This window comes from Homo sapiens, chromosome 4, assembly GCF_000001405.40.
Source record: "Homo sapiens chromosome 4, GRCh38.p14 Primary Assembly".
NCBI lineage: Eukaryota > Metazoa > Chordata > Mammalia > Primates > Hominidae > Homo > Homo sapiens.
The window spans coordinates 122,233,044-122,258,153 of NC_000004.12; the positions used below are offsets into that span (position 1 = coordinate 122,233,044).

Consider the following 25,110-nt stretch of genomic DNA (forward strand, 5'->3'; position numbering starts at 1 on the left):
CTCCCAAACTACCAGCATCAACATCTCCTTGGAACTTATTACAAATATACATAATCAGGCCTTGCCAGACCTCAATCAGAAACTCTGGAGGTGAAGCCCAGCCACCTACAGTTCAACGAGCCATTCAGTTGATTCTAATACAAGCTAACGTTTGAGAACTAGTGCATTGGATTATGCAAAGATAGGAAAGGAGAGCTAACGTTTGTTGTGTAACTTGTGTAGTCCACATTTTGCATCTCAGGTGCTTTACACGTGTTATGCTATTTTATGCCCACAATGATCTTTAATTAGATATATCATACCATCATTTTGCAGATGAGGAAACTGAGGCTCAGAGATGTTAACTTGTCTGAAGTTGTAGAGTTAGTAAGTGGCATAGCTAGAATTTGAACTCAGGTCTAGAGGACTCAAAGCCATGCATTCTACCAAGCTTTTGCTGTGGAAATGAAGTAAAAAAAGTCTATTATGTATATAAGTTCTTTTATTTTGATGGTGTTTTAAGATATCTTTGCTGCTTGACTTAATACTTTAAAATACAGAAGTGATTTGAAATGGATAACATCCGACCAGTGCAATCTCAAGCTCTCCCTCATCTTAAGGCCTGCTCATACATTTTTCCTTCTGTCTTCTCTAGATAGATGTTCCACTTCTAAGTTGTTTCACCTTATCTTTAATGTCTCTATGTTACTTTTTGAAAGATTCTCCCTATTTTCTTTGTCACAACACCTTGTTTACCTCATAACACTTAATACAATTTATGATTAGTTATTATTTTCTTGTTTATTGTTTGTCTTTGCCTCTGTATTGTAAACTTCATATGGATAAGGACTATATCAGTTTGCTTAGCATGACACTAGGCACTTAATAGATATGTTCAAGAAATATAAATTAATGAATGTAAAATGAAGGTGATAATACCTATTCTGTTTCCCTGTGAGGGTCTTGAGAATCCAAGGTGATAATACATGTAAAAATGCTTAGAAAAATAGACTGTAAATATGAGGGGATTTTATTAAAGTAAAAAAAAAGGAATAAAGGTATATCTCACAGATTTCTATTATATAATATTGTTTAAGAAAAGAGGGGAGTTAATAAATACTGACAGATCTATGAGTCACTTATACAGAACCTGAAGTTTACATACATTTTTAATACTTTATTTGTAGTCCTTATTACAAAGGAGTAGACCTCGATATTATTTTTCTCTAAAATATGGAGTGGTTCATTATTTTAATTTTATTGAGAAATAATTTCTTAGTTGCTTCATATTTGTAATTTTTCAGTGTTTTAAATTTGCAATGTGAAATAGGCCCTGAGATGCTAAAGGTAATGAGCTATCAAGCATAATCTATACTAATGGTTTTTTTGGATTAGTGTCTTAAAATTTTAGTGTTTTTGAGAATGTTTACTACATTGTAAAACTGGACTTAAATGTCTGATTTTTATATTTGCTTTTTTTTTAATGCTTTGGGCTTTTTAATGTATGCCGTATCTCTATTATTATTGATTCTGCTTATTTCCGTCTCACTTGCTCTGGTAAGACTATATTTTTTAGAAAGGCAAATGATTTAAAAAAACACAGTGGGAATAAACCTTTGTGTTTGTGTTTACTTTGTCATTTAAAAATATTTACAATTAACTTATATTTAATTATCTATCAAAAAGTTTTTCATTTCTTAATGATTTTTTTTATGTTGTTGTTTTTTGTTTTCTTTTGGGGTCGGTTTAGGTTGTGGTTTTTATGGCCAGATGATATCCTGAAGAATAAGAGGTGTAGAAACAAATGTGGTTGTCTCGGTGGCTGCAGATTCTTTGGTGGCACAGTAACTGGCCTAGATTTCTTCAAACTTGAAGAGTTGACACCTTCCAGTAGCTCTGCATTTTCAAGCACAAGTGCAGAGTCTGATATGTATTATGGACAGTCTCTGCTACAGCCTGGAGAATGGATAATTACTAAAGAAATTCCCAAAATTATAGATGGTAATAAAATGTTTCGTCACTTGTGCTAATTGTTTACTTTCTTCATCACTATGCCATTTTGAGAGAAATTCAGTGTTAACTCTGTTCAACTCAATTTACTTTGTGTGATGTTATGAGTAGGGTTTAGTATAATCCACCTTTGTTTTGCACATGACTTAACTAAAGCCAGATAAAACTAGTGATTTTTTCAGAGTTAGAAGTAGGTCTGCTATTCAGATCTTCTGTTGACGTGGGTGGCTTTCCTCACAGAATTTTTTCTAAATATTTCCTTACATACTGTTATTTTCCTGTAGCACAGCATCCAGATAAATACTTAGGAATAGCTGTGCTTCAAGGTAACAATTGTTTCACCAGCTTGCTTTTATAGGATAACTTTTGGATAGTAATATTTATACTGTTGGCCCCCATGTTACCAATTATATTTGCAGAATAGTTTCCTTATAGTAAAATTAAACATGTCAAGAAAAGAACTCCAGTCTTAGAATCTTTAGCATAACTCTGGCCGGGCGTGGTGGCTCACACCTGTAATCCCAGCACTTTGGGAGGCCAAGGTGGGCGGATCACGAGGTCAGGAGATCAAGACCATCCTGGCTAACGTGGTGAAACCCCATCTCTGCTAAAAATACAAAAAATTAGCCGGGCGTGGTGGCGGGCGCCTGTAGTCCCAGCTACTCGGGAGGCTGAGGCAGGAGAATGGTGTGAACGCGGGACGCGGAGCTTGCAGGGAGAGGAGATGGCGCCACTGCACTCCAGCCTGGGCGACAGAGCGAGACTCCGTCTCAAAAAAGAAAAAAAAAAAAGAATCTTTAGCGTAACTCTGCAAATACACCAGTTTGCTATGAGCAGTGAAGAGTGGCTTTAAGTGTATTATATTTAGATTTACCTAGAGTCTTTTCTCCAGAGACTTCAGAAACAGATTTTTCCTCTGGATTTTTTTAGTTCTGTGTTCCTATGATTCAGTGCAATATTTACTGTTTAAGTTGCCATGCTGTGAAGATGTTAATTGTAGAAAAGTCTTGATACTTCACGAATATTTAGCCATTTCCCCTTAATTAATTTAAAAATATTAATTTACCTCTGCCTTTTATCAGTACACACAAAAAGATAGGAAAGGGGTAATTTTACCTTCAAGAGTTGATCAGATTGCTTTCCCATGTATAGGAGCTCTTAGAGGAAACAGCTGGACTACATATACTAAATTCCTAAATGATTTTTTTACTGAGTAGTAGTAAGTGTGCACAAGTTATTTTAAGGTCATTGTACTTTGGCAGGTTTGCTAGAATGAGAGCAGATTATCTTATAAAATCAGCAAACACCAAAACTTCTTGGCATTTAAGTGATAAGATAGATTGTAATAATTTAGCTGTCTTCTTATATAACTTTTTTACATTTGAATAATGTTCATTTTTAAAGATTTACACTGGCATTTTCTCATTTAATCCCTAAGCTACCATGTAAAGTGGATATTATCCTTGTTTTTTAGTAAGGACACTGAGGCCTGTCAGTGAGACTGAGTTGCATGAAGTGATATAGCCAAGTATGGCTGAGAAGAAAATAGAATCAGGGCCATTGAAGCCACTTTGTTGTTCTCTCTAATGTTCTACAACTGGTGCTAATTATAAAGATTGCTTGATTTTCAAAGATTAACCATCACAAACTCAAGAAAGAATATTTGCAGGGAATTTATACTGATGTGAAATGAGGAAAATAGTAAATTCTCTTTCTAACATTGAAGAAAGTAAAATTCTTATAATGTGTAATAGGAAGTGTCTGTATCTCTTGGTGATTCTCTTAGTAGTGAGTTGTAATTGCCGAATTGCCATAAGTTTCTTGTCCAGGGAAGCTTGGAAATAACCCCTACATACGTACCTGAGTTTCTGATTGTTGAGTCTTCCAGGAATGGAGTACAGATGCAGTGTCAGGATAAAATCAAGGAGGGCATATGGGTAGAATTAAGGATCTATTTGGAAGGTCAGTGAGCACTATGTTCCTGTATCACTTAGAAGCAAATCAAGACCATTTTTTCTTTTGACTTTCATTGCTCTATTTTACATTTGTGGTAGTAGAAGTAACTAATATTATATTTTAGGTTTATGACTCTTACCCCTTGAATGCCACTAGAACTGCATTCTGTTCACAGAGATGTTTTTTTCCATTAGCGGATTTACTTTTTTTGGCTAAAACAGGGATGGTAGGAGGAGGGGGAAGTTGAGCAAGAGTTATTTTTTTTGGATCTAGGCAGCTATAGAATTCTCTTTTTATTTCCCCCAGCCCCTCAGTTTATATAACACATCACAGAGCTCTTTATGAAACTGTGAAACAGTGGTGCTTCACTCTGATCCTAAAGTCGTTATTTGTTCATTCATAAAATCATGTATTGAGTGCCTTCTGTGTATGAGGCATTATTCTAGGCACTGGAGGTACATCAGTGAATGAAAAATGATACAGTCCCTGTCAACATTGAACTTTTAGAGCAAAAGGGGAAAATGCTTAAAATAAGTAAATCCGAATAGAAGATATATGGGGTTCTTTGTACTATTCTTGAAAGTTTTCTGTAAGTTTGAAAATTTTCCAATAAAAGATTTAAAAAGAAGAAAAAAATTCACTGTTTATGGGCCTGGGATCTATACTTATGTAGATATATTTCTAAAACGTTTAACAAATTGCTATATGGAATTAGTCACTTGTGCTTTTTACACGCCTGTAATCCCAGCACTTTGGGAGGCTGAGGAGGGCGGATCACGAAGTCAAGAGATCAAGACCGTCCTGGCCAACATGGGGAAACCCTTTCTCTACTGAAAATACAAAAATTAGCTGGGTGTGGTGGTGCGTGCCTGTAGTCCCAGCTACTTGGCAGGCTGAGGCAGGAGAATCTCTTGAACCCGGGAGGCAGAGGTTGCAGTGAGCCAAGATCGTGCCACTGTATTCCAGCCTGGTGACAGAGCGAGACTCCATCTCAAAAAAAAAAAAAAAAAAAATTATACTTAAAAATGGATTAGATTGCCATGTTTTTTATAAACTGCTGTTGAGATTTGTGTGTTCACTTAACCCACCTTTTGTTTGTTTAGGTAATGTGAATGGCATGAAGAGGAAAGAATGGGAAAACAAATCAGTGGGAATAGAAGTAGAGAGAAAAACTCAGCACCTTAGTCTTCAAGTACCATTACGATCTCATAGTTCATCCTCTTCCTCAGAAGAGAACAGTAGTTCTAGTGCTGCACAGCCTTTGTTGGCTGGTGAAAAGGAAAGTCCTTCATCTGTTGCTGATGACCATTTGGTTCAAAAAGAGTTCTTGCATGGGACAAAAAGAGATGATGGCCAAGCAAGGTCAGTATTCACTTAGATTTAGAAGCCTGATCATAAATAGGATTATAATTGTTTAAAATTCTGGCAAGAAAAACTTCTTCCCTCTCCACTCCCCCACTTTAGAAAATTGTTACCTGTATATCTGAACATATTTTGAAATGTCAGTTTGCTGTTGTCTGATTATAAAAGTCATACATACATATATTCATTCAAGATATGAGGAAAGTACAGGAAAGTGTAATGAAAGTGGAAGTTTCTTGTCATCCCACCACTCAGAGTGAATCACTGTTAACATTCAGATATTATCCTTCTAGTCTAATGGATACTTTTTGTTCCTCCTCTTGCCACCTTAATAGTTGGCCACTCCCTTCTTGAATCACAGTTTCCTCTTGGTTTGATAGCACATTTCAAAATTTCGTCCCACCTCCTTGGCTATTCCTTCTCAGTCTCCATTGTCCTGTCCTCCATTTCTTCCTCCTTTCTTTTTTCTCTTCCTTTTATAGCCTGCCCTTTGTTGAACATTCTCTCCTTTTTCTCCACTTACTCTATATTATTTCCCTAGGGAGTCTCAATAACTGTTTGGTTTCAATTATGTTCTCTAGCTAACATCTTTTAAATGTAAAACTCCAGCCAAAACCTTTGTTCCTAAGGCCTAGCTACCTTCTTGATGTATCTGCTTGGATGTTTCATGGAGACTTCAAACTCAACATATTAAAAATGGCCTTATTCTTACCAGTTTTAACTTGTTCTGCCTTAGTAAATGGCACTACTACATCAGTTGCTGAAGTCAGAAATACTGGGGTTATGTATAACTTCTTCCTCCAGTCTCCTTTAATCAGAGGCACCTGGTGTATTTTGTTGGACAAGTTTTTAAAGGATGTGAAAGAAAAAAAACCTTTATAAGTGCATTAGTGTCCATGGATTATGGATAGAAGATTACATTCTGGGGTTTCTTTAAGTTTTTATTGTGTTTTAAGCTACCTCAAAATTTTTTGGAACTAATGGGGGATGTGAACACATATTGTACTGTTTTGCTACTTTGGGTATTTTATTATAAAATTGTAGATTTTCTTTTACTTGTAAAGTACATGATTAAAATTACTAAAAGGATTTTTATTGATATTTGTTTTTATGCTTAAATTTTATGATGTATAGAAAATGGTAATAGCTTTGCTTTCTGTTTTAGTATCCCTACAGAAATTTCAGGAAACAGCCCTGTGTCTCCTAATACTCAGGATAAGTCAGTAGGTCAATCTCCTCTTAGATCTCCCTTGAAACGACAAGCCTCTGTCTGTTCCACCCGTCTTGGAAGTACTAAGAGTCTTACTGCTGCTTTCTATGGGGACAAGCAGCCTGTAACAGTTGGAGTCCAGTTTAGTAGTGATGTCTCTCGAAGTGATGAGAATGTACTAGACTCACCAAAGCAGAGGAGAAGTTTTGGTTCATTCCCATATACACCATCAGCAGACTCTAATTCATTTCATCAGTATCGATCAATGGATTCCAGCATGTCAATGGCTGATAGTGAAGCCTACTTTTCTGCTGCTGAGGAATTTGAGCCCATTAGCAGTGATGAAGGCCCTGGAACTTATCCGGGTAGAAAAAAGAAGAAAAAGCAAACCCAGCAGATTGACTACAGTAGGGGTTCCATATATCACAGTGTAGAAGGGCCACTTACTGGACATGGAGAAAGCATTCAGGATTCCAGAACTCTGCCATTCAAAACTCATCCTTCTCAGGCTTCATTTGTTTCTGCGTTAGGTGGAGAAGATGATGTTATAGAACATCTATATATTGTAGAAGGTGAGAAAACAGTGGAGAGTGAACAGATTACTCCGCAACAACCCGTGATGAATTGTTATCAGACTTACCTTACTCAGTTCCAGGTAATTAATTGGTCAGTTAAGCACCCAACCAACAAAAGAACCTCTAAATCCTCATTGCATCGTCCCCTTGATCTGGATACACCAACCAGTGAAGAAAGTTCATCGTCATTTGAACAGCTTTCTGTTCCAACTTTTAAGGTATAAACCAAATCATTAGTTTCCATTGATATCTTGATTTAGAAAAACAGATTTTTAAGAAGTTATTTTCATAATTACTCTCATTCTTTTTAGCTACCTTTCTGAGAGAGAGACTTTCTGAAGCCATAGCTTTATGTATGATAGGTCACAGAGTTATTGATGAATATTAGAAATTTAAGTAAATTAAATTGAGAAATGGTTTATGAGTTGCCACTGCATTAATCTAATCAACACATATTCTGTGTCTGCATTATACTCTAAGATTAGGATCAACTCTCTCTGAATTCATATCTTCCGTGTCTTAAAAATAAAATTTTGAAGTTGTTTTTAATGATGTTCTTTTTATTAATTCATAACTCCTTCCATGCAAAGGCTTCAATGTCCACTTACTTGACATTTGAGTTCTTATAATTCAGTATGAATATGGTTATTGGGCATTTCCGTAATGTATTCTGAAAATGCATTACAGAATGTTTTAGGTAAGCTAAAAATACCTCAAAATAAATTTAGGGGTCATAGCCAATATGAAATACTATACTTATTTGAAGTGTCTAAATGCTTATTTAGTTATTCTTAATTCAGATATTTATTATACAGTATTGTGAACAAGGCACTTGATGTAGAGTGGTGAGGGAAATGGATATGGAGCTTATGGTTTAGAGGTGGAAAATGACAATTAATAGATCAGTATATCATTACAAAGTGAGAAGAGTCTATGATGATAACCAAGGGATGCTGGGATAGAGAATAACAAGGGGTGGGGACACCTAGATTGTATTGAGATGAAAGGTCCATCTGAGGAGATAATATTTAGACTTAAATTTGAAGGATGATGAGGAATTGAAGATAGGAGGACCTAGGGGCACTGCATTTCAGGCAGAGGCAACTGCCTTCCTAAAGCCCTGAAGAGGGAAAGAGGTCAGCATGCCCGAGAAATAGTGAGTGGAGAGACTTGCTCGTAATGAGGCTGGAGACCTAAGCAAAGGCTAGGTCATTTAGAGCTTATAGACCATGGCATCAGGAGTTTGAATTTCATTTTAGTTTAATTTATTAACTCTTCAGAGTTTTAAGGAAATATGATAGGATCTCATGTACTTTGAATACTACGTAGAATTGAATTGTCATTAAGCAAGAGAGGAATTGGGGTGATCACTTAGGAGACTGTCTCAGTAGTCTGTGCAAGAAACGACCAGGGCTTGGACTTAAACTGTATTAGTAATGATGGGACATGATACATGGAGTTGAATATTCTCATAGATTATGTAGGCATTTGAATAATATGTATTGAAGGAAGAAGAAACATTAGTGAAAGTTGCAAAATTTTGTTTTTAAGGTTGTACTGTTTTCTTATCTTGCCCAAAACCAATTGCCCATGCTAAGATTTCAAAATGTCCTTTTTAGTACATGTGGAAATATGTTGGTATATGAATTTTCCAGTGTAAAACTGAATGGCCCTTGTGCAGAATAGTACCTGAGAGGATAGAATTATTTCAGTATTTTAAATAAATCTTTCTAGTTTGATTAGGCAGTCAAATCTCTAGAGAAGACAGGTCAAGGAATTAGTATTTTTAGACAGCTTCAAAAACAGAACATAGGCCATTGTCAGAAAGACAAAAAAATGACATGTATTGGTGAGGATGTAGAGAAAAGGGAACACTTGTGCGCTGTTGGTGGAAATGTAAATTAGTATAGCCATTATGAAAAACAGTATGGAGATTCCTCAAAAAATTAAAAATAGAATTCCATATGATCCAGCAATCCCACTACTGGGTAATATCCAAAGGCAATTAATTCAGTTTATTAAAGAGATGTCTGTACTCCCATGTTAATTACAGGAGTATTCACAATAGCTAATATATGGGATCAACCTAAATGTCCATCAATGAATAGACAGATAAAGAAAATGTAGTATATACACACAGTGAAATATTCTTCTGCCATAAAAAAAGTAGGAAATCGTGTCATTTGTGACAATATGAATGAATCTGGAGGGCACTCTGTTAAGTGAAATAAGTAAGGCACTAAAAGACAAATACCTCATGATTTCACTCGTAGAATCTAAGCAAGCTCTTACAGATGTAGAGAGTAGAATGGTGGTTACCAGAGGCTTGGGTAGTTGGGGGGAAAAAAGTAACCTGGGAGGTAAGAAAGTTATTTTTTGCCATTAAGTCTAAATAACTGACAAGCATTTGTAAAGGTTCAATTTGATTAGTCAGGTTCATTTATTTATTTTCCTTGTTATCATTTATGGATATAAAATACAAGACTAGTTTTTCCTATAGTTTAATGTTTCTGTGGCTCTCTTTCCCACTTAAAGGTTGGTTTTGCTAGGAGAAGTCTAAAATTAGCTTGAGAAAAAACTCAATTTAAAAAGAAACTCTGGAGGAAAGACATTTGAAACACTTGCTTTTAAGTTTCAGTTATAGCCTTTTACCCTCACAACCCTGCTTTGCCATTTATTTGAATCAACAAAGTGAAACTGCCAATTGAATATATTATTTGATTTGCTTAATTTGTCTGTTAAATGTTTATATCAAATATATCAAAATCATATTAGGTAATTCAGGTATTTACATATATCAGTTGATATCATAAAATTAGGGAAATATATTAAAAATCTAGACTATAGTATTTTATATTCTAGGTTATCAAGCAGGGGCTCACAGCTAATTCTTTGCTAGACAGAGGCATGCAACTTTCAGGATCAACTTCAAAGTAAGTAAAAATATCATGCTTTTAAAGTGTCTTCCTTGATTATGAGATGGGTAGAGTTTATTCTGAATAATAATCATTCTTTATTTGAGTATGAACTTTATATTAAGAATAAATTACCAAAATAATTCAGCTCTTTTCTCTGCCATGGCTTTGGCTACATTTATAAGTAGTCAGTAGCATTTCTATTAAACATGCTGTAACTTGGCATATCAAAATTGCTGACTAATAAGACTTCAGTATCATATTTTTCATAATTTGGCAAAGGTACATCAGGTAAATATATTAAAATTTTCTCATTCAATGTATTAGCCATCTTTGATCAATTAGCATTTTAGTACTTCTTTTTGGCCTGTCTTTGGAAGGTCTTTGGGACATAAAATGTCAAGTCCAGGCCAGGCATGGTGGTTCACACCTGTAATCCCAGCATTTTGGGAGGCCATGGCTGGCAGATCACTTGAGGTCAGGAATTCGAGACCAGCCTGGCCAACATGGCAAAACCCCATCTCTACTTTTTAGTACAAAAAATACAAAAAAATTAGGCATAGTGGCGCATGCCTGTAATCCCAGCTACTTGGGAGGAGGAGGTTGCAGTGAGCTGAGATCGCACCACTGCACTCCAGCCTAGGTGACAGAGTGAGACTCTATCTCAAAGAAAAAAAAAAAGTCAAGTCCAATTCCATAAAATTTTTAGTTGTAATGAATGCATGTGTTCACTCATCTTAAGGAAGCTCCAACTTCTAATTCATGGTCTTTTTAATATACAATTTGCTTGTTAAATTGTATAGTACGCCGTATACTCCATTGGAAAAAAAACTCGCTGATAACACAGATGATGAAACATTAACAGAAGAGTGGACCCTGGATCAACCAGTGTCCCAGACCAGGACAACAGCCATAGTTGAAGTAAAAGGAACTGTTGATATTGTTTTGACTCCCCTGGTGGCTGAAGCTTTAGACAGGTATTGATTTTGTCTAGAAATACAACTGTTGCTTTATACAATGATTACTCTGTGATATGATAAGTATATGTGATATGTTCGTGTAGAAGATTGTTGATAGTTATAAGTATATGTGATATATGTTCATATAGAAGATTATTGATAGCTATTTTGATTGAATAAAAATGAAAATATGCTTAAAGAGGTCTGTGTTTCAGTTATCATTTGCTACTTTCTCAGCCTAAATAATTGGAGTTGTCCCTCCATATCTGTTGGCTATTGGTTCCAGAACACCTGTGGATACCAAAATCCACAGATGCTCAAGTCTTGCAAGTTGGTCCTGTGGAACCCGCGGATCAAAAAAGTCAACCTTCTGTATTGGTGGGTTCTGCATCCCACAAATACTGTATTCTGAATACTGTATTTTCAGTCTGCGCTTGGTTAAATGTGTGGATTTGGAACCCACAGATATGGAGAGCTGACTGTATATTCAAATTAATTATTATATTGCAATAATATAATAATATTACAATAATATAATATTACATATTATTATATAAAACTAACATGAATAAAAATGAGAATGGAACATAATGGAAGTGGTGTAGAAGCGGTTGGGAAGAGAAAAGGGGTTCGGTGGAAACGAGCTTTCATGAAAATCTTCCTTTTCCTGCAAAAGCACATAATTTTCTTCGATAACTTATACTATTAAGATTCTTATGATATGTCATATAAATGAAGAACACAGGAAATCTTCTTCAGAAGTTTGTTAAAGAAAAGATCATTGCCCAGTGTGGAACACTTCATCTTGGGGTGAAGGTGGTGATGTGGGGATAACCTCAGAAATGTTTCCCTTGTATAATTTCTAAATATGTGGCTTAGACATTCTCATTTCAATGTTGAGCAATTGTTGTACATATTCAGATGGTGCTACGTTTCATGATATGTTTACATAAACTAAGTTGTAGAATCAACGACATTTAAATATTTCATTTACTGTTTTTTCCCCTCAGATATATTGAAGCAATGGTTCATTGTGCTAGTACCCGACATCCAGCTGCAATTGTAGATGATCTTCATGCTAAAGTCCTCAGGGAAGCTGTCCAAAATAGCAAGACTACCTTTTCAGAAAATGTAAGAACTTTTTAATTCAATGGGCATAGCAAATTGAATATTTATCATGGTTACAGAATATTCAAACTTGAAAAATTTTCTTTACAAGTTAAATCAGAATATTTGGACATGTTCTAAAAGCGTTTATATGTCATTGGCTCTGTAAAAGATAGGACATATAACTGTACTATAGATGGAATAGTAGTAAAAATATTTATTTAAAAAATATATTAATAGCTTTCTTTGTTTCTTTTATTTCAGAAGCAGCTTAGTTCCAAGCCTTTTCTAAAGTGCTTTGGCCCTAAGTGAATGAATATTCTTTAGGACTGACACCTTGCTTTTCTAAGACAGCTGTTTATGTTTTGATTTTCCTCTATGATTAGATGACTTGTATCTTAATATTACTTTTGAGATTTTCCTCGTTCACTTCAGTGAATCAAGTCACTACTCTCATTGTATGATATTCTACTTACATTGTGGTTCCAGCCACGAAGCCAGTTGCTTAGCAGTCATATCCCAGTGCTCTTCCAGAGCTTCTCCATTTGATTTTCAAATTTATCTGGATTATACTTAGAGTAGGGACCAGAAGAGAGATGAAAGTGAGACTGATTATTTTAGTTAACTATTTATTTAATATATATTGGCATTTCATGTGATAGAGTAGAAGAGTGAAAAAAAGAAATTTGAAAATATTCCTAGCCAAAAAGGGGCCAATTATCAGAAACCAAGTTTGTTTTCAAGCCAGAAGAGTTTAGTGATCTTAAAAAATGCCTGTAATTACTGTACCATTTTTTCTGTCTGCTTCTCTGTAGGCTGATTTCAATTTAATGTGTATTACTTTTCTCAACCATGATGCTACCAGTCTTTTTCCTAGCTTATCGAAAGTTTGGATTTTAAGGTGGGATATAAAACTAGAACGCAGCTGGCACATAGATAGGCATAGAGGGGCAGCGTGAATAAGTGAGTTGCTGTTGTGGATGATGTGGAAGTTATGAAAAGCTTGTGAAATAATTTCACTTACGATCTTTTTAGTTATCTTCCAAACAAGACATTAGAGGAACAAAAACTGAGCAGTCTACAATAGGAACGACTAACCAAGGACAAGCACAGACAAATCTTACAATGAAGCAAGATAATGTAACAATTAAAGGTCTTCAGACTAATGTTAGCATACCAAAGGTAACAATTTAATATTTAAAAATTTTTTCCTGAAAGAGGAGAGCATTTTGATGGTGTTTGTCCTTTTCAGTTACCAACGTGAATAATGGTAGAACAGTGTGTAATATTAAAAAAATATGTTTTATTTCTATGATCTAATGTAGATCTAATGGAATGTAAATAGTTTACTTAAGCAGAATATTAGGTAATAGTAGAATGTTCCACATCCATCCAGTAAAAATTTAATTATGATTATTTTATGAGAATCTGTATTCATAAGCTTTGTCTTCACTGTCAAATACATAGATATGCCATTCTTAACAGTAGTTTTTCATTTTTGTGCATATTTTATGTTTAAGTGGTAATTTTTCACTTGTCAGTTCTGAAATTTTGTGTGTGTGTTAGGTAAACTTATGTTTGTTACAAGCCTCAGTGGAAGAATCTCCAACTACGGCTCCTAGTAGGAGTGTGACTCATGTTTCCCTAGTGGCATTGTGTTTTGACAGAATTGCTACACAGGTTCGCATGAACAGGTAAGAAATACTTTATTAATCTGAGCCATGATTATCTTGCTGGATGTAAAAGCAAGCCTTGATCATCTTTTCTTTTAAAAATACATTTCTAAGAATGTAATGTTAAAACTCAGAACTGGTTTTGGAATTTCAAATCTTAATTTATAGATTAGTAACATATGTCTTTAAAAAATTTTTACTGTTTCTATTCATAGTATCTTTCAGTAAACATTGAATAATTTTTTACTACTATTGGTGTATAATAGTAGAGTGTTTTGTTTTTTTTAAAGGAAACCTTTTAGGTAAATGTTTTCTCTGAACTGTATTATTTAAATGTTAAACATTTTACTCTCTTTTTTTTCATAAAGAGGTGTGGTTGAAGAGACTTCAAACAATGCAGAACCTGGTAGAACATCAAATTTTGATAGGTATGTTCATGCCACAAAGATGCAGCCTCAGTCATCTGGATCTCTCAGATCAAATGCTGGAGCAGAAAAAGGCAAAGAAATTGCAGCTAAGTTAAACATTCATCGAGTTCATGGGCAACTTAGGGGTCTTGATACAACAGGTAGGATTCTACAACAAATATGTTTTTTCTTGGCATATATAAATGTAAGATGATTTTGCAGAAGGGAACATGTTTTTTTCCTTTGACTATTGCTACAATTCGGTATTCTATAAGAAAGAGAAAGGTATTTCTCCCTATATTGAACACGTGGTATTTAGCTACTTGTCACTCACATTCTGTACAGAATAGAAAATAAACTTTGGTAAGAAAATTAAGTGGTATGGCCCCAAATTAGGAACTTCTATTTCCCATGTTTCTATTTCCCATGTGTTTTTTCCATGCTATTTACTTGCTCGTTATAGAACAGAGAAGACATGATCTTTATAGTCTTTCTTATTTTTTAAGTCATTCTGTTTGTAAAACAGTGTTAGAAAGAATTAATTGTAATATTAATCAAAACCAGAGAGTCTGTAAAATACAGCAGCAATAAGGTGACACACATTCCTCTTAAAGTCCCTAGTTAGGTAAAAGGAAAGTAGAGCTGTTATACATCATTTTAATATTTTTGATTCTTATTTAGCACATTTTATCATTTAGATGCTTAAATGTTTTCAGAATGTCAGAGATTCAATTCAGAAAAAGTTAGATTTGCTAATCGTATTTGAGATGATTGCTCTGCTGAAATCTTTATGTGGGACTGGTGACCAATTCTGAGTAAACAAATGAATTCCCTGAATTTGCTTACTGTATTTTATAGGTTCTGAAGTTTCCATGATTCCTGTCTGCATTCTGGGTCTGTGTACCTGTTTTGACTTTCTCAAGGCTTATTTTTTTCATCCCAGGTGTGAGGCTGAAAGCATTTGACCTGAGGTTTTCAAGGGACTTTTCATGACTACCTAAGATCTGTAGTCCTAAAACTGGTGAAAAATGTGGTGGCTTGAGTGAAGACACTTTTATCAGCTCTGTAGTTTGCGTGGGTAACCAATTTGCACTGGGTATTATACAGACCATAAGCAGAACCTTATATAATTTTGAAAGGCATTATCATGCAGAAAACACTCTCATTGAAGACAAAACTCCCAACGAAATTCCAAGGTGGACATTTCTGTAAAAATGTAGATGTCTTTGCTTATATGTACATTAGTTATCTGCCAAAGGTTACTTAATAACCTCATAATATTTGTTACCCTTATAGGGAGGGGAACTAGGTGTCTGGTTGTGGTGTTAGAGGCTTTTCATTGCGTACTTTTTCATAATTTTTTGAACTTTGATACATCTGAATATGTATGGGATTAAAGACAAATACAAAAAAATTAAATAATGAGAAAATTATAGGAAAATGTAGGTGAATGTTTATTCTCTGAATAAGACCTTTTAATTATAAATGCAAAGAATGACATTTCCATAGCATAGAATATTATATAGCTATTAAAATGATATCTTTGAAAAAATTTTAATGACCTGAGGAAATTATTTACTGTTGCATGAAAATGGGAGCCAAAGCTGGGTTTGCAAAGTGATCTCTAAAGGGCTAGAGTGCAGTGTACTTCAAATATAAACAAGTTCTCCTTGAATGGTAAATTTACATGTGTTTTTAATATTCTTTTTGTTTTTTTATATTCATTAGCAATAATCAGAGAGAGAAATGAAAAAAGTAAGATAAAGTAAAACTTCTCTCAGGCACTTGGGGTGTTAATTTCCACAGTGTATCTGTAAGCAGTGGAACCATGACAAGGTCTATGATGAATTGTAGTTATGTAAAATATGTCAGTATAAAACAGTCTTTTAGTAAAAGCTATAATTTGCCTAGAAAATAATGTTTTTCCTAAGGCTTGGTAATTAATTGAATTTTTTTTTTATTTTGTGAGATGATGAAAGTATTTAAAACTACTGTGAAGATAAATTATTTAGGATATTTTTAACTTTATATTTTTTAGAGTATCCTGTAATCATTCAGAAACAAATTCATACTACCTTTGAGCAACTTGTTAATCATAAAATCTTCTTTTCTTCCTCTTAGGCAGCATTATTCTAAAAGTTAGCTCATTTGCCTGTTTTTCTATCTTTTTGACAGAGCACTAAGATATCTTTTAAAGACAACCAGTGTGCCATATGTCCAAATGTTTGTGTTTTTTAATGTAAGCTTATGTCTTTAAAAATGGTCATTTTGCTCTCTTTTGATAATAGACATTGGGACCTGTGCAATCACTGCTATTCCTTTTGAGAAGTCCAAAGTTTTATTTACTCTTGAAGAGTTGGATGAATTTACTTTTGTGGATGAAACTGATCAGCAAGCTGTTCCAGATGTAACTCGAATAGGTCCCAGCCAAGAAAAATGGGGATGGATAATGTTTGAATGTGGACTTGAAAATTTAACCATAAAAGGCAAGCATTTTTTATTGAATTCTGCTTAAGGTGGGGACAAATATGTCCTATATTGCAGAAATGTTTTGAACAATCATGGCTTTCAGTAACCTGAATCAACATAATAAAGCAGAAAGTGTGGTATCTGGGATTATTTACCGGGGGTGAGTGCCTCATACCAATTGCTTAAGTGGAGCTTTTCCTCCATTATGTGATTTCCAAAGTAGGTAGAGCTTGAAAAACAACAATATGTTTTTCCGAATAAATTCCCAAATAAAATATAAAGCCACCCAATTTTTTGAAACTTTGCATCTTTGAAAACTGGATCTTTGGTCAGTAGAATTATGCCATATAGGATATAAAAACTGTAAATTCTTTATTCAGCGAAAAATATCTACTTAGAATTATATTTGCTTTTTTATATATTCTTGAGTAATAGCTCAAAAAGGAAGGTTGAAATGTGTATAACACTTTTTTTAGGTTTAGTAATATATAATATAGTAACTACTATAAATAATAGTAGTTGTATATGCCTACAATTATTTACCTGATAATTCAGTGATACATTACTTTTATAGATTAGGGCAAAGACTTGGTGAGAAAAAAATAGTCTTTATGAAATTTTATACAGATATTGTAGAGTACAGCATTAAGACACTTATTCACCATTTATAATAAATGCTTTTTTTTATTTTTATAGGAGGAAGACAGTCTGGTGCTGTTTTATATAACAGTTTTGGAATTATGGGTAAAGCTAGTGACACAGAAAGGGGTGGAGTGCTGACATCCAATAATTCTTCTGATTCTCCAACCGGCAGTGGCTATAATACTGATGTCTCTGATGATAATCTTCCATGTGACCGGACAAGCCCTTCCTCAGACTTAAATGGAAATTCTGTTTCAGATGAACAGGTTAGTGACTTTCTAATAGTAATAATAATGGTGCTTTAGAAAAATAACAAAGAAAACTACATATGCAATTCAAAATTAGTTTCTGGAGTGTATTTGCCTGTCTTTCCCTATTTTGGATTTATGATATCTGCTTAAATGTTAGTCAAAGTGTGTTGGTGAATATACTACTAGAATATAATTTCCAAAGTATATCATAGATATATTTATATCCATCATAGTCCTAGCATTATGCCTTGCTCAAATTAGATACCTAATAAATATTTGTTGAATTAATAAATTAACAAAATTTAAGAGAAATCCACCTATAGGGTGTGGAGGATTTTAGCAGGCAGAAGTCATTTTGTTATTGGTAGTATTTTATGTCAGTTCTAAATATTTTTGTCAGTGTTTGCTTATTTCAGTTAAGAGTTCTGAATGGCACCTTATATTCAACTCACTTTTTATTTTTATTATGGTAGAATTACATGGGTGGTGATGAGTACAGTAACAGCAACAACAAAAATATTCCAAATTTTTGGTTGAAGAAATGTCGTGCCACTAACTGGTGACCTGGGGCAAGTTCCTAACCTTTTCCTAAGTCTCTTTACCTGTAATAGGAGTATGGTCATGTTATTGACCTTGCAGCGTTGTGAAGACTGAAGCAGGTAATACATATGAAGGGCTTAGCTCAGTATGTAGTATGTAATAAGAATGTAGTAACTGTTGTTCTTAAACGTATGTACATATATTTCTGATCACTTTGAAAATTAGGCCAATTGGAGAGGAAAAAGTTCCAAAGAAACCACTTTTTAATTAGGAAGTCTAGTATGGGTATCTAGTAATCATGGGTATACTCACCTTTACCCCCCAGATTCCTAGGGATTTATTTTTAAAACATTTGTTTTTATTTAATATGTAGTTTAATGAGTTTAATCACAGTTTTATTTTGGTGTCTTTGGAAATGTTTAGGGGATGGATTATCACTTTAATTAAGGAAATTTAAAAATACAATAGCTACTCACTGGACAAAAGAGCTGAGAAAAGCCTAGCTGTTCTTTCCTTCTCCTTCACCTACTAAAATACTTGACAGAAATTCAGGCATCTTTCTTGATCTCTCAGATCCTACTCTTCTTGCTGAAAGCCCTTGAATTGGCTAACATTACTTTCTTTGGGTTCTCTGACTTTATTGGTCCATTTCTTTATGGAATTTTTTCTTCTTCTTAAATGTGGTGGTTTCCTCAGGTTCTGTTCTTGGCTCTTCCTTTCTTCTTGCTATTTGTCTACTACTCCCTGATGAATTTCATTTCCTAGGTCAGTTCCGTAATTTAATGACACTTCTCTTTCCCACTGGCCACACCTTTAGCACCAGCTCTTCACCTGAGCTCCAGGATTGTGTTTAGTGGCCTTTTAGACATCATCATTTAGTATTTAACAGAGTCATGAAGCCTCCATTGCAGACCCTAGCTCCTGGACAACATTTCTAGACACACCCTAGGCCAGAAGGGAACCCACTGCATTGAAGGAAAGGACCCAGTCCTGGCAGGATCAATCACCTGCTGACTAAAGAGCCTTTGAGCCCTGAATAACCAGCAGCAGTACCCAGGTAGCATATCATGGGCCTTGGGTGACCCTCTACGATGTGCTGGTTTAGGTGTGACCTAGCACGTTCCTAGCTGTGGTGGCTATAGTGAGAGATTCTTTCTGCTTGAGAAAGCAGAGGGAGAAGTAATGGGGACTTTGTCTTGCACCTTAGATGCCAGCACAGCCACAATGTGCAGAGCACTAAGCAGGCTCTTGGGGTACCTGATTTCAGGACATGGCTCCTGGATGGCATTTCTGGACCTGCCCTGGGTCAGCAGGGAGCCCACTGTCCTGAAGGGTGAGTTTCAGGCCTGGCAGCATTCACCACAAGCTGACAGAACAGCCCTTGGGCCTTAAGTGAACATCAGTGGTAGTGTGACAGTACTCCCCATGGGCCTGTGATGGTGGTGGCCATGGGGTAAGGATTCTCTGCCTGTGGAAAGGGGAGGGAAGAGTGGGAAGGTCTGTGTCTTGTGATATGAGTGCCAGCTCAGCCATGGTAGAATAAAACACCAAGTAGATTTATAAGGTTTTTGTCTCCAGTTGTTGGCTCCTGGATAGCATCTCTAGACCTGCCCAGAGCCTGGCGAACTCGCCACCCTGAAGGGAAAGACACAAGCCTGGCTGGCTTCGCCACCTGCTGATTGTACAGCTCTAGGTCTGTGAGCAAACGTAGGCAGAAGCCAGGTAGTGGTTACAGGGGGCCCTGGGTGAGACCCAGTGCTATGCTGGCTTCAGGTCTAACCCCACACAGTTCCACTGGTGGTAGCCACAGGGGTGCTTGTGTCACTGCACCAGCTCCAGGAAGCTCAGCACACACAGAGAGAGACTCTGCTTGGGAGAAAGTAAGGGAAGATAATAAGAGCCTCTGTCTGGTAATCCAGAGAATCTTCTGGATCTTATCCAAGACCACCAAGGTGGTACCTCTATAAGTTGCAAGAACAGTGATACAGGGCTTGGGATGCCCCCTAATGCAGATATGACTTTGCTGACCAGAAACTTATAACACCCAAGTCCCTTTGAATACCTGAAAAGCCTTCCCAAGAAGGATGGGTACAAACAAGCCCAGAGTGTGAAGACTACAATAAACACCTAACTCTTCAATGCCCAGACATTGATGAACGTCCACAAACATCAAAAACAGCCAGCAAACTACGACCTCACCAAATGAATTAAATAAGGCACCAGAGACTAATCCCAGAGAAGCAGATGTGTGACCTTTCAGACAAAGAATTCAAAATAACTGTGTTGAGGAAAGTCAGAGAAATTCAAGGTAACACAGAGAAGGGATTCAGAATCTTATTAGATAAATTTGACAAATAATTAAAAAGAATCCAGCAGAAATTCTAGAGTTGAAAAATCCAAGTGACATAGTGAAGAATGCATCAGAGTCTCTTAACAGCAAAATTGTTCAAGCAGAAGAAAGAATTAATGAGCTTGAAGACAGACTGTTTGAAAATACATAGAGGAGACAAAAGAAAAAAGGAATGAAAAAGAACGAAGCATGCCTACAAGATCTAGAAAATAGCCTCAAAAGGGCAAATCTAATAGTTACTGGCCTTAAAGAGAAGGTAGAGAAAGACGGGTGGAAAGTTTGTTTAAAGGGGTAACAACAGAGAACTTCCCAAACCTTGAGAAAGATATCAATATTCAAGTACAAGAAGGTAGAGAATACCGAGCAGATTTAAACCAATTAAGACTACCTCAGGATATTTAATCATTAAACTCCCAAAGATCAAGCATAAAGAAAGGATCCCAAAAGCAGCAAGAGAAAAGAAACAAATAACATACGATGGAGCTCTGATAAAACTGGCAGCAGACTTTTCAGTGGAATCTTTACAGGCCAGGAGAGAGTGGCATGACATATTTAAAGTGCTGAAGGAAAAACACTTTTAAAAGAATAGTATATCTGGCAAAAATATCCTTCAAACCTGAAGGAGAAGTAAAGACTTTCCCAGACTTGATTTGATGAAAAGGTTTTGCACTTAAAACATTAGCCTCTGTGTTAGTGGTTTTAAGGGGCTGTATGTTAATAAGTTTTTGGCATTCTATTTTATATAGGATGAAGGAGTCGAATCTGATGATTTGAAAAAAGATCTACCTCTGATGCCTCCTCCTCCAGATTCATGTAGCATGAAGTTGACCATTAAAGAAATTTGGTTTAGTTTTGCAGCTCCCACCAATGTGAGATCTCACACACATGCATTTTCTAGGTAAAGAGTTTTTAAAATATAGTAGTATCGCTTGATGTTTCTTTATTTTAAATAGTATACAATTCTGTTTCATATTTTTAAAAATTACTTTTCTGGTATATATAGTATTAAGGTTGCAACTTTTTCATCATTCTTACTTCATATGTTCTGTAGACATTAGTCTTACCTTGTTTGACCCAATTTCTTTCATAGTACTTTAGTTTTATTTTTATATGTTCCTCTGCCTTAGACTTTTGTTTACTCTTTTTATCTCTGACAGGCTTTTTTTTTTCTTTCTTTTCTATTGTCCATTTTTTTTAACATTTCTTAGTTATGCTTTCATAATTTATCAGTGCTCAAAAAGAAAAGAAATTAATTTTGCCTGAGTAAAACAACCACTAAGTACAGTAGGTATGGGAGATTGTTTGGAATACAAATTTTGACACTTGTTTTTATAATTTTTTATTTATGTTAAAAAGGCAGCTGAACCTTTTAAGCACTGCAACACCAGCTGTTGGTGCATGGCTTGTTCCCATTGACCAACTCAAGTCATCTTTAAACAAATTGGAAACTGAGGGAACCTTGAGAATTTGTGCTGTTATGGGATGCATAATGACAGAAGCATTAGAGGTATGTCTTTAAATAATACAAGGTATTATACAAACTTTAGTATTGAAAATGACCCCTTATTGTTAATCATTATTGGAAAATATCAGATTTACAAGTTCTTAATTACTGAATGTCTTTTATTTGTAGGCTCTTTCATACCTATCACTCTAAATCTATTGTTGTTTCTTGATTTTAGAATAAAAGTGTACATTTTCCCCTAAGAAGTAAATACAACAGGCTTACAAAAGTTGCTCGCTTTCTCCAAGAAAATCCTTCATGTTTACTATGTAATATACTACACCACTATCTGCACCAGGCAAATTACTCCATCATTGATGATGCTACAATGGTAAGTTACTGAAACTACATTAGTTTTAAGGAATTCTCTATTCTGTTGGTGGACCACTGATACACAGGGTTTGAGATGCATGTGAGAATGGTTAGAAATACAAGTCTATAGGCCTGTAATCCCAGCACTTTGGGAGGCTGAGGCGGTTGGATCATTTGAGGCCAAGAGCTGGCCAACATGGCAAAACTCTGTCTCTACTAAAAATACAAAAAATTAGCTGGGCGTGCTGGCTGTCACCTGTAATCCCAGCTACTTGGGAGGCTGAGGCAGGAGAACTGGTTGAACCTGGGAGGCAGAGGCTGCAGCAAACCAAGATCGCACCATTTCACTCCAGCCTGGGCAACAAGAGCAAAACTCTGTCTCAAGAAAAAGAAAAAAAAAGAAATACAAGTCTATAGACAAAGAGTGTGCTCAGACTAATGATTTGGGAGTTGCCAGCATAAAGGTGTTAGTAGAAGCTGTAGACATGGATGAGATTTCCAGGAATGCTATGTTGGGTAAGAAATTGCTCAGGGATGGAATCCTGAAGAAAGCCAAAATTAAAGGGGGTGTAGGTGGTTGGATAGGGATACACCAAGTGATGGGAAGGGAAAGAAAGAGGTAGGAGAACTAGGAAAGAGTGATGTCTTGGAAGCTAAAGGTATAAAGAGTTTTTAAGCAAGAGAATAATCACCAGAGCCAAATTTCACATACAGTTTGATGAAACAGGGACTAATTGATGATTGAGGGGAGAATATACAATCACACAAAATAAATACAATCCATCTCTGCCTCTGGAAAAGCAGATAACATCATGATTAGAGTTTTAGAACTTTTAGGATCTCTCTTCTCCAAGTTGCTGGCCAATAGGGGACACACAAGAATCTTTAGTCAAATTAGGGACCAATGTATCAGTATTATTAATGGCCAGTCAAGCCATTGTTCAGGCAAGTCAAGAATCTCTAGTAAGTGTTGGATTTGAAAAAGACACTTAGACCTAAGGCTGGTGTAGTACTTTTTACTCCCTCCCTGTGAATTGAAGACTGGGAAATCTACAGTTTAAGCCTAACTTGCCTGTGTAGTTATAGGTAGAGAAGCTTGAACAGAGAGAATGGCAGGTGTTTCCCATGGATGGATGCTCTGCCAGATGTGTTTTCCATGTAAGAGGAAGAGGCACAACATGGCCGTCATGCAAGGCTGGGAATGAAAGGAGAGGCTAGTGGACTTGGTGTTCCTCAGAAAGTAAACGGGGTGATTCCTGCCTTCTAGTAAATAGTGCTCTTCAATCAAATTAACCATTTCTCCTAAAATGAGGAATGATAGGAAACAGGATGGAGAGGAGTTAGATATTTTTCTCTTTCTTTAGGCTAAGGCAAGGTAATTAGACTAAGGTAACAGGAAAAGAGCCAAAAGTTTCTTTCTTACAATCATCACCATGTGGAATAAAATGTATTTTAAACTATATAATTATTACTGATAATACAGTTAACTTTCAAGGCAGTTACAAATTCATCTATGTCTAGCATACTACATAAGTTATAGTAATTTATTTTTTTAAATGTTAACACAATGGTAGTTACCTAATCTTTGAAGGAAATAATTTTACTTCCTCTTTGCTTATTGAATGTTCCAAGTAGCTCAAAATGCATTTTGATTCTTCACTTGGGCAAAATAAGTAAAGTTGATTGAATGCTTCTTAAGGAAAATTCCAACTTTGCACTCCACATCTAGTATCATATTGACCTGTGCTATTGTGTTGTTTTATGACACAAAGATGAAACGTTGTGCCTAGAGATTAGATTCTGTAGTCTACATTATAATTGAAATCCTGACTCTCTTGGGTAACTTTGAACAAATTACTTAACATCTAAGTTTTAATTTCTTTATCTCTAAATGAGTATTATGAGATTTGAATAAATACATGCAAAGCACTTAAATGGTAACTGATATTATTACATTAGATTACTTCTAACCACATGATTATTGTTACAGAGCGATGGACTTCCTGCTTTGGTAACTTTGAAGAAAGGTTTAGTTGCACTGGCAAGGCAGTGGATGAAGTTTATTGTGGTGACACCAGCCTTTAAAGGAGTTAGCTTACATAGACCAGCTCAGCCTCTGAAACCTCAAATAGCTATGGACCATGAACATGAAGATGGACTTGGATTGGACAATGGGGGTGGTCTTCAAAGTGATACCAGTGCTGATGGAGCAGAATTTGAGTTCGATGCAGGTAGTTTTGTAAGCCTCTATTGAGTACTTTCTTACACCTCACAAAACTAGGGTGTTTTCTTACTCAACACAATTACTGTATGTTTTTTGCTTAGATATTATGCATCTTTTATCAGTAAGTTAATATACCTCTTTAAAAATGTCAAGACCCTTTGTTTTTCCTCACAGTTACAAATAAATTACTAATATAAGCAATTTTAGATATTACATACTTGTTAATATGGTACTTGTGATAATTTTAATAATTCATGTCCCAAATTGGAAAATGGTCATGGCTTAAGTATACACGTATGATTTTTATTGGCCAAGTAAGTGATAATGATTAGGAATCTTCATACTGACCTGATTTTATAAGTTCAGTTTTGTGAAATACAGTAGACTTCTCTTGATCTATCCAGGACAAAGATAATATAAGTAGAACGTTTTGAATGAAACACATAAACCTCTATTTAAAACTTGTATTTGTCTGTCATCTTCCCTATGCCACAGTATTTTAAAGGGGCCTTTGTCTTTTTACCTGATGCCTGCTTGATCCTGAATTTATGTAAACTTTGGGGCCTGCGCTCAGCCTACAATTTTGTCAACAAAATGGCTGTGTCAGAATAAAGATAGTGGATATACATTTATGAAATGTACTTGCATACCTTAAGCTTTGCCAA

The 25,110-nt window shown here is 35.5% G+C and overlaps 1 protein-coding gene across 44 annotated transcripts in view; it reads left to right on the forward strand.

Annotated features, from left to right (window-relative positions):
- BLTP1 (bridge-like lipid transfer protein family member 1) overlaps positions 1 to 25,110 on the forward strand; it is a 210,422-nt gene that overhangs the window by 80,713 nt on the left and 104,599 nt on the right. For all 44 annotated transcript variants that reach the window (XR_938783.2, XM_047416253.1, XM_047416259.1 and 41 more), the window contains 15 exons: positions 1,730 to 1,980; positions 5,049 to 5,307; positions 6,473 to 7,310; positions 9,955 to 10,025; positions 10,811 to 10,984; positions 11,977 to 12,097; positions 13,109 to 13,255; positions 13,640 to 13,767; positions 14,115 to 14,314; positions 16,442 to 16,639; positions 17,319 to 17,530; positions 21,152 to 21,303; positions 21,762 to 21,912; positions 22,088 to 22,240; positions 24,212 to 24,452. Coding sequence is in view for 43 of the 44 variants with exons in the window: in XM_047416253.1 (XP_047272209.1) it covers positions 1,730 to 1,980; positions 5,049 to 5,307; positions 6,473 to 7,310; positions 9,955 to 10,025; positions 10,811 to 10,984; positions 11,977 to 12,097; positions 13,109 to 13,255; positions 13,640 to 13,767; positions 14,115 to 14,314; positions 16,442 to 16,639; positions 17,319 to 17,530; positions 21,152 to 21,303; positions 21,762 to 21,912; positions 22,088 to 22,240; positions 24,212 to 24,452 (3,296 nt within the window). In the remaining variant the exon portion in view is untranslated. The remainder of the gene's footprint in view (positions 1 to 1,729; positions 1,981 to 5,048; positions 5,308 to 6,472; positions 7,311 to 9,954; positions 10,026 to 10,810; positions 10,985 to 11,976; positions 12,098 to 13,108; positions 13,256 to 13,639; positions 13,768 to 14,114; positions 14,315 to 16,441; positions 16,640 to 17,318; positions 17,531 to 21,151; positions 21,304 to 21,761; positions 21,913 to 22,087; positions 22,241 to 24,211; positions 24,453 to 25,110) is intronic.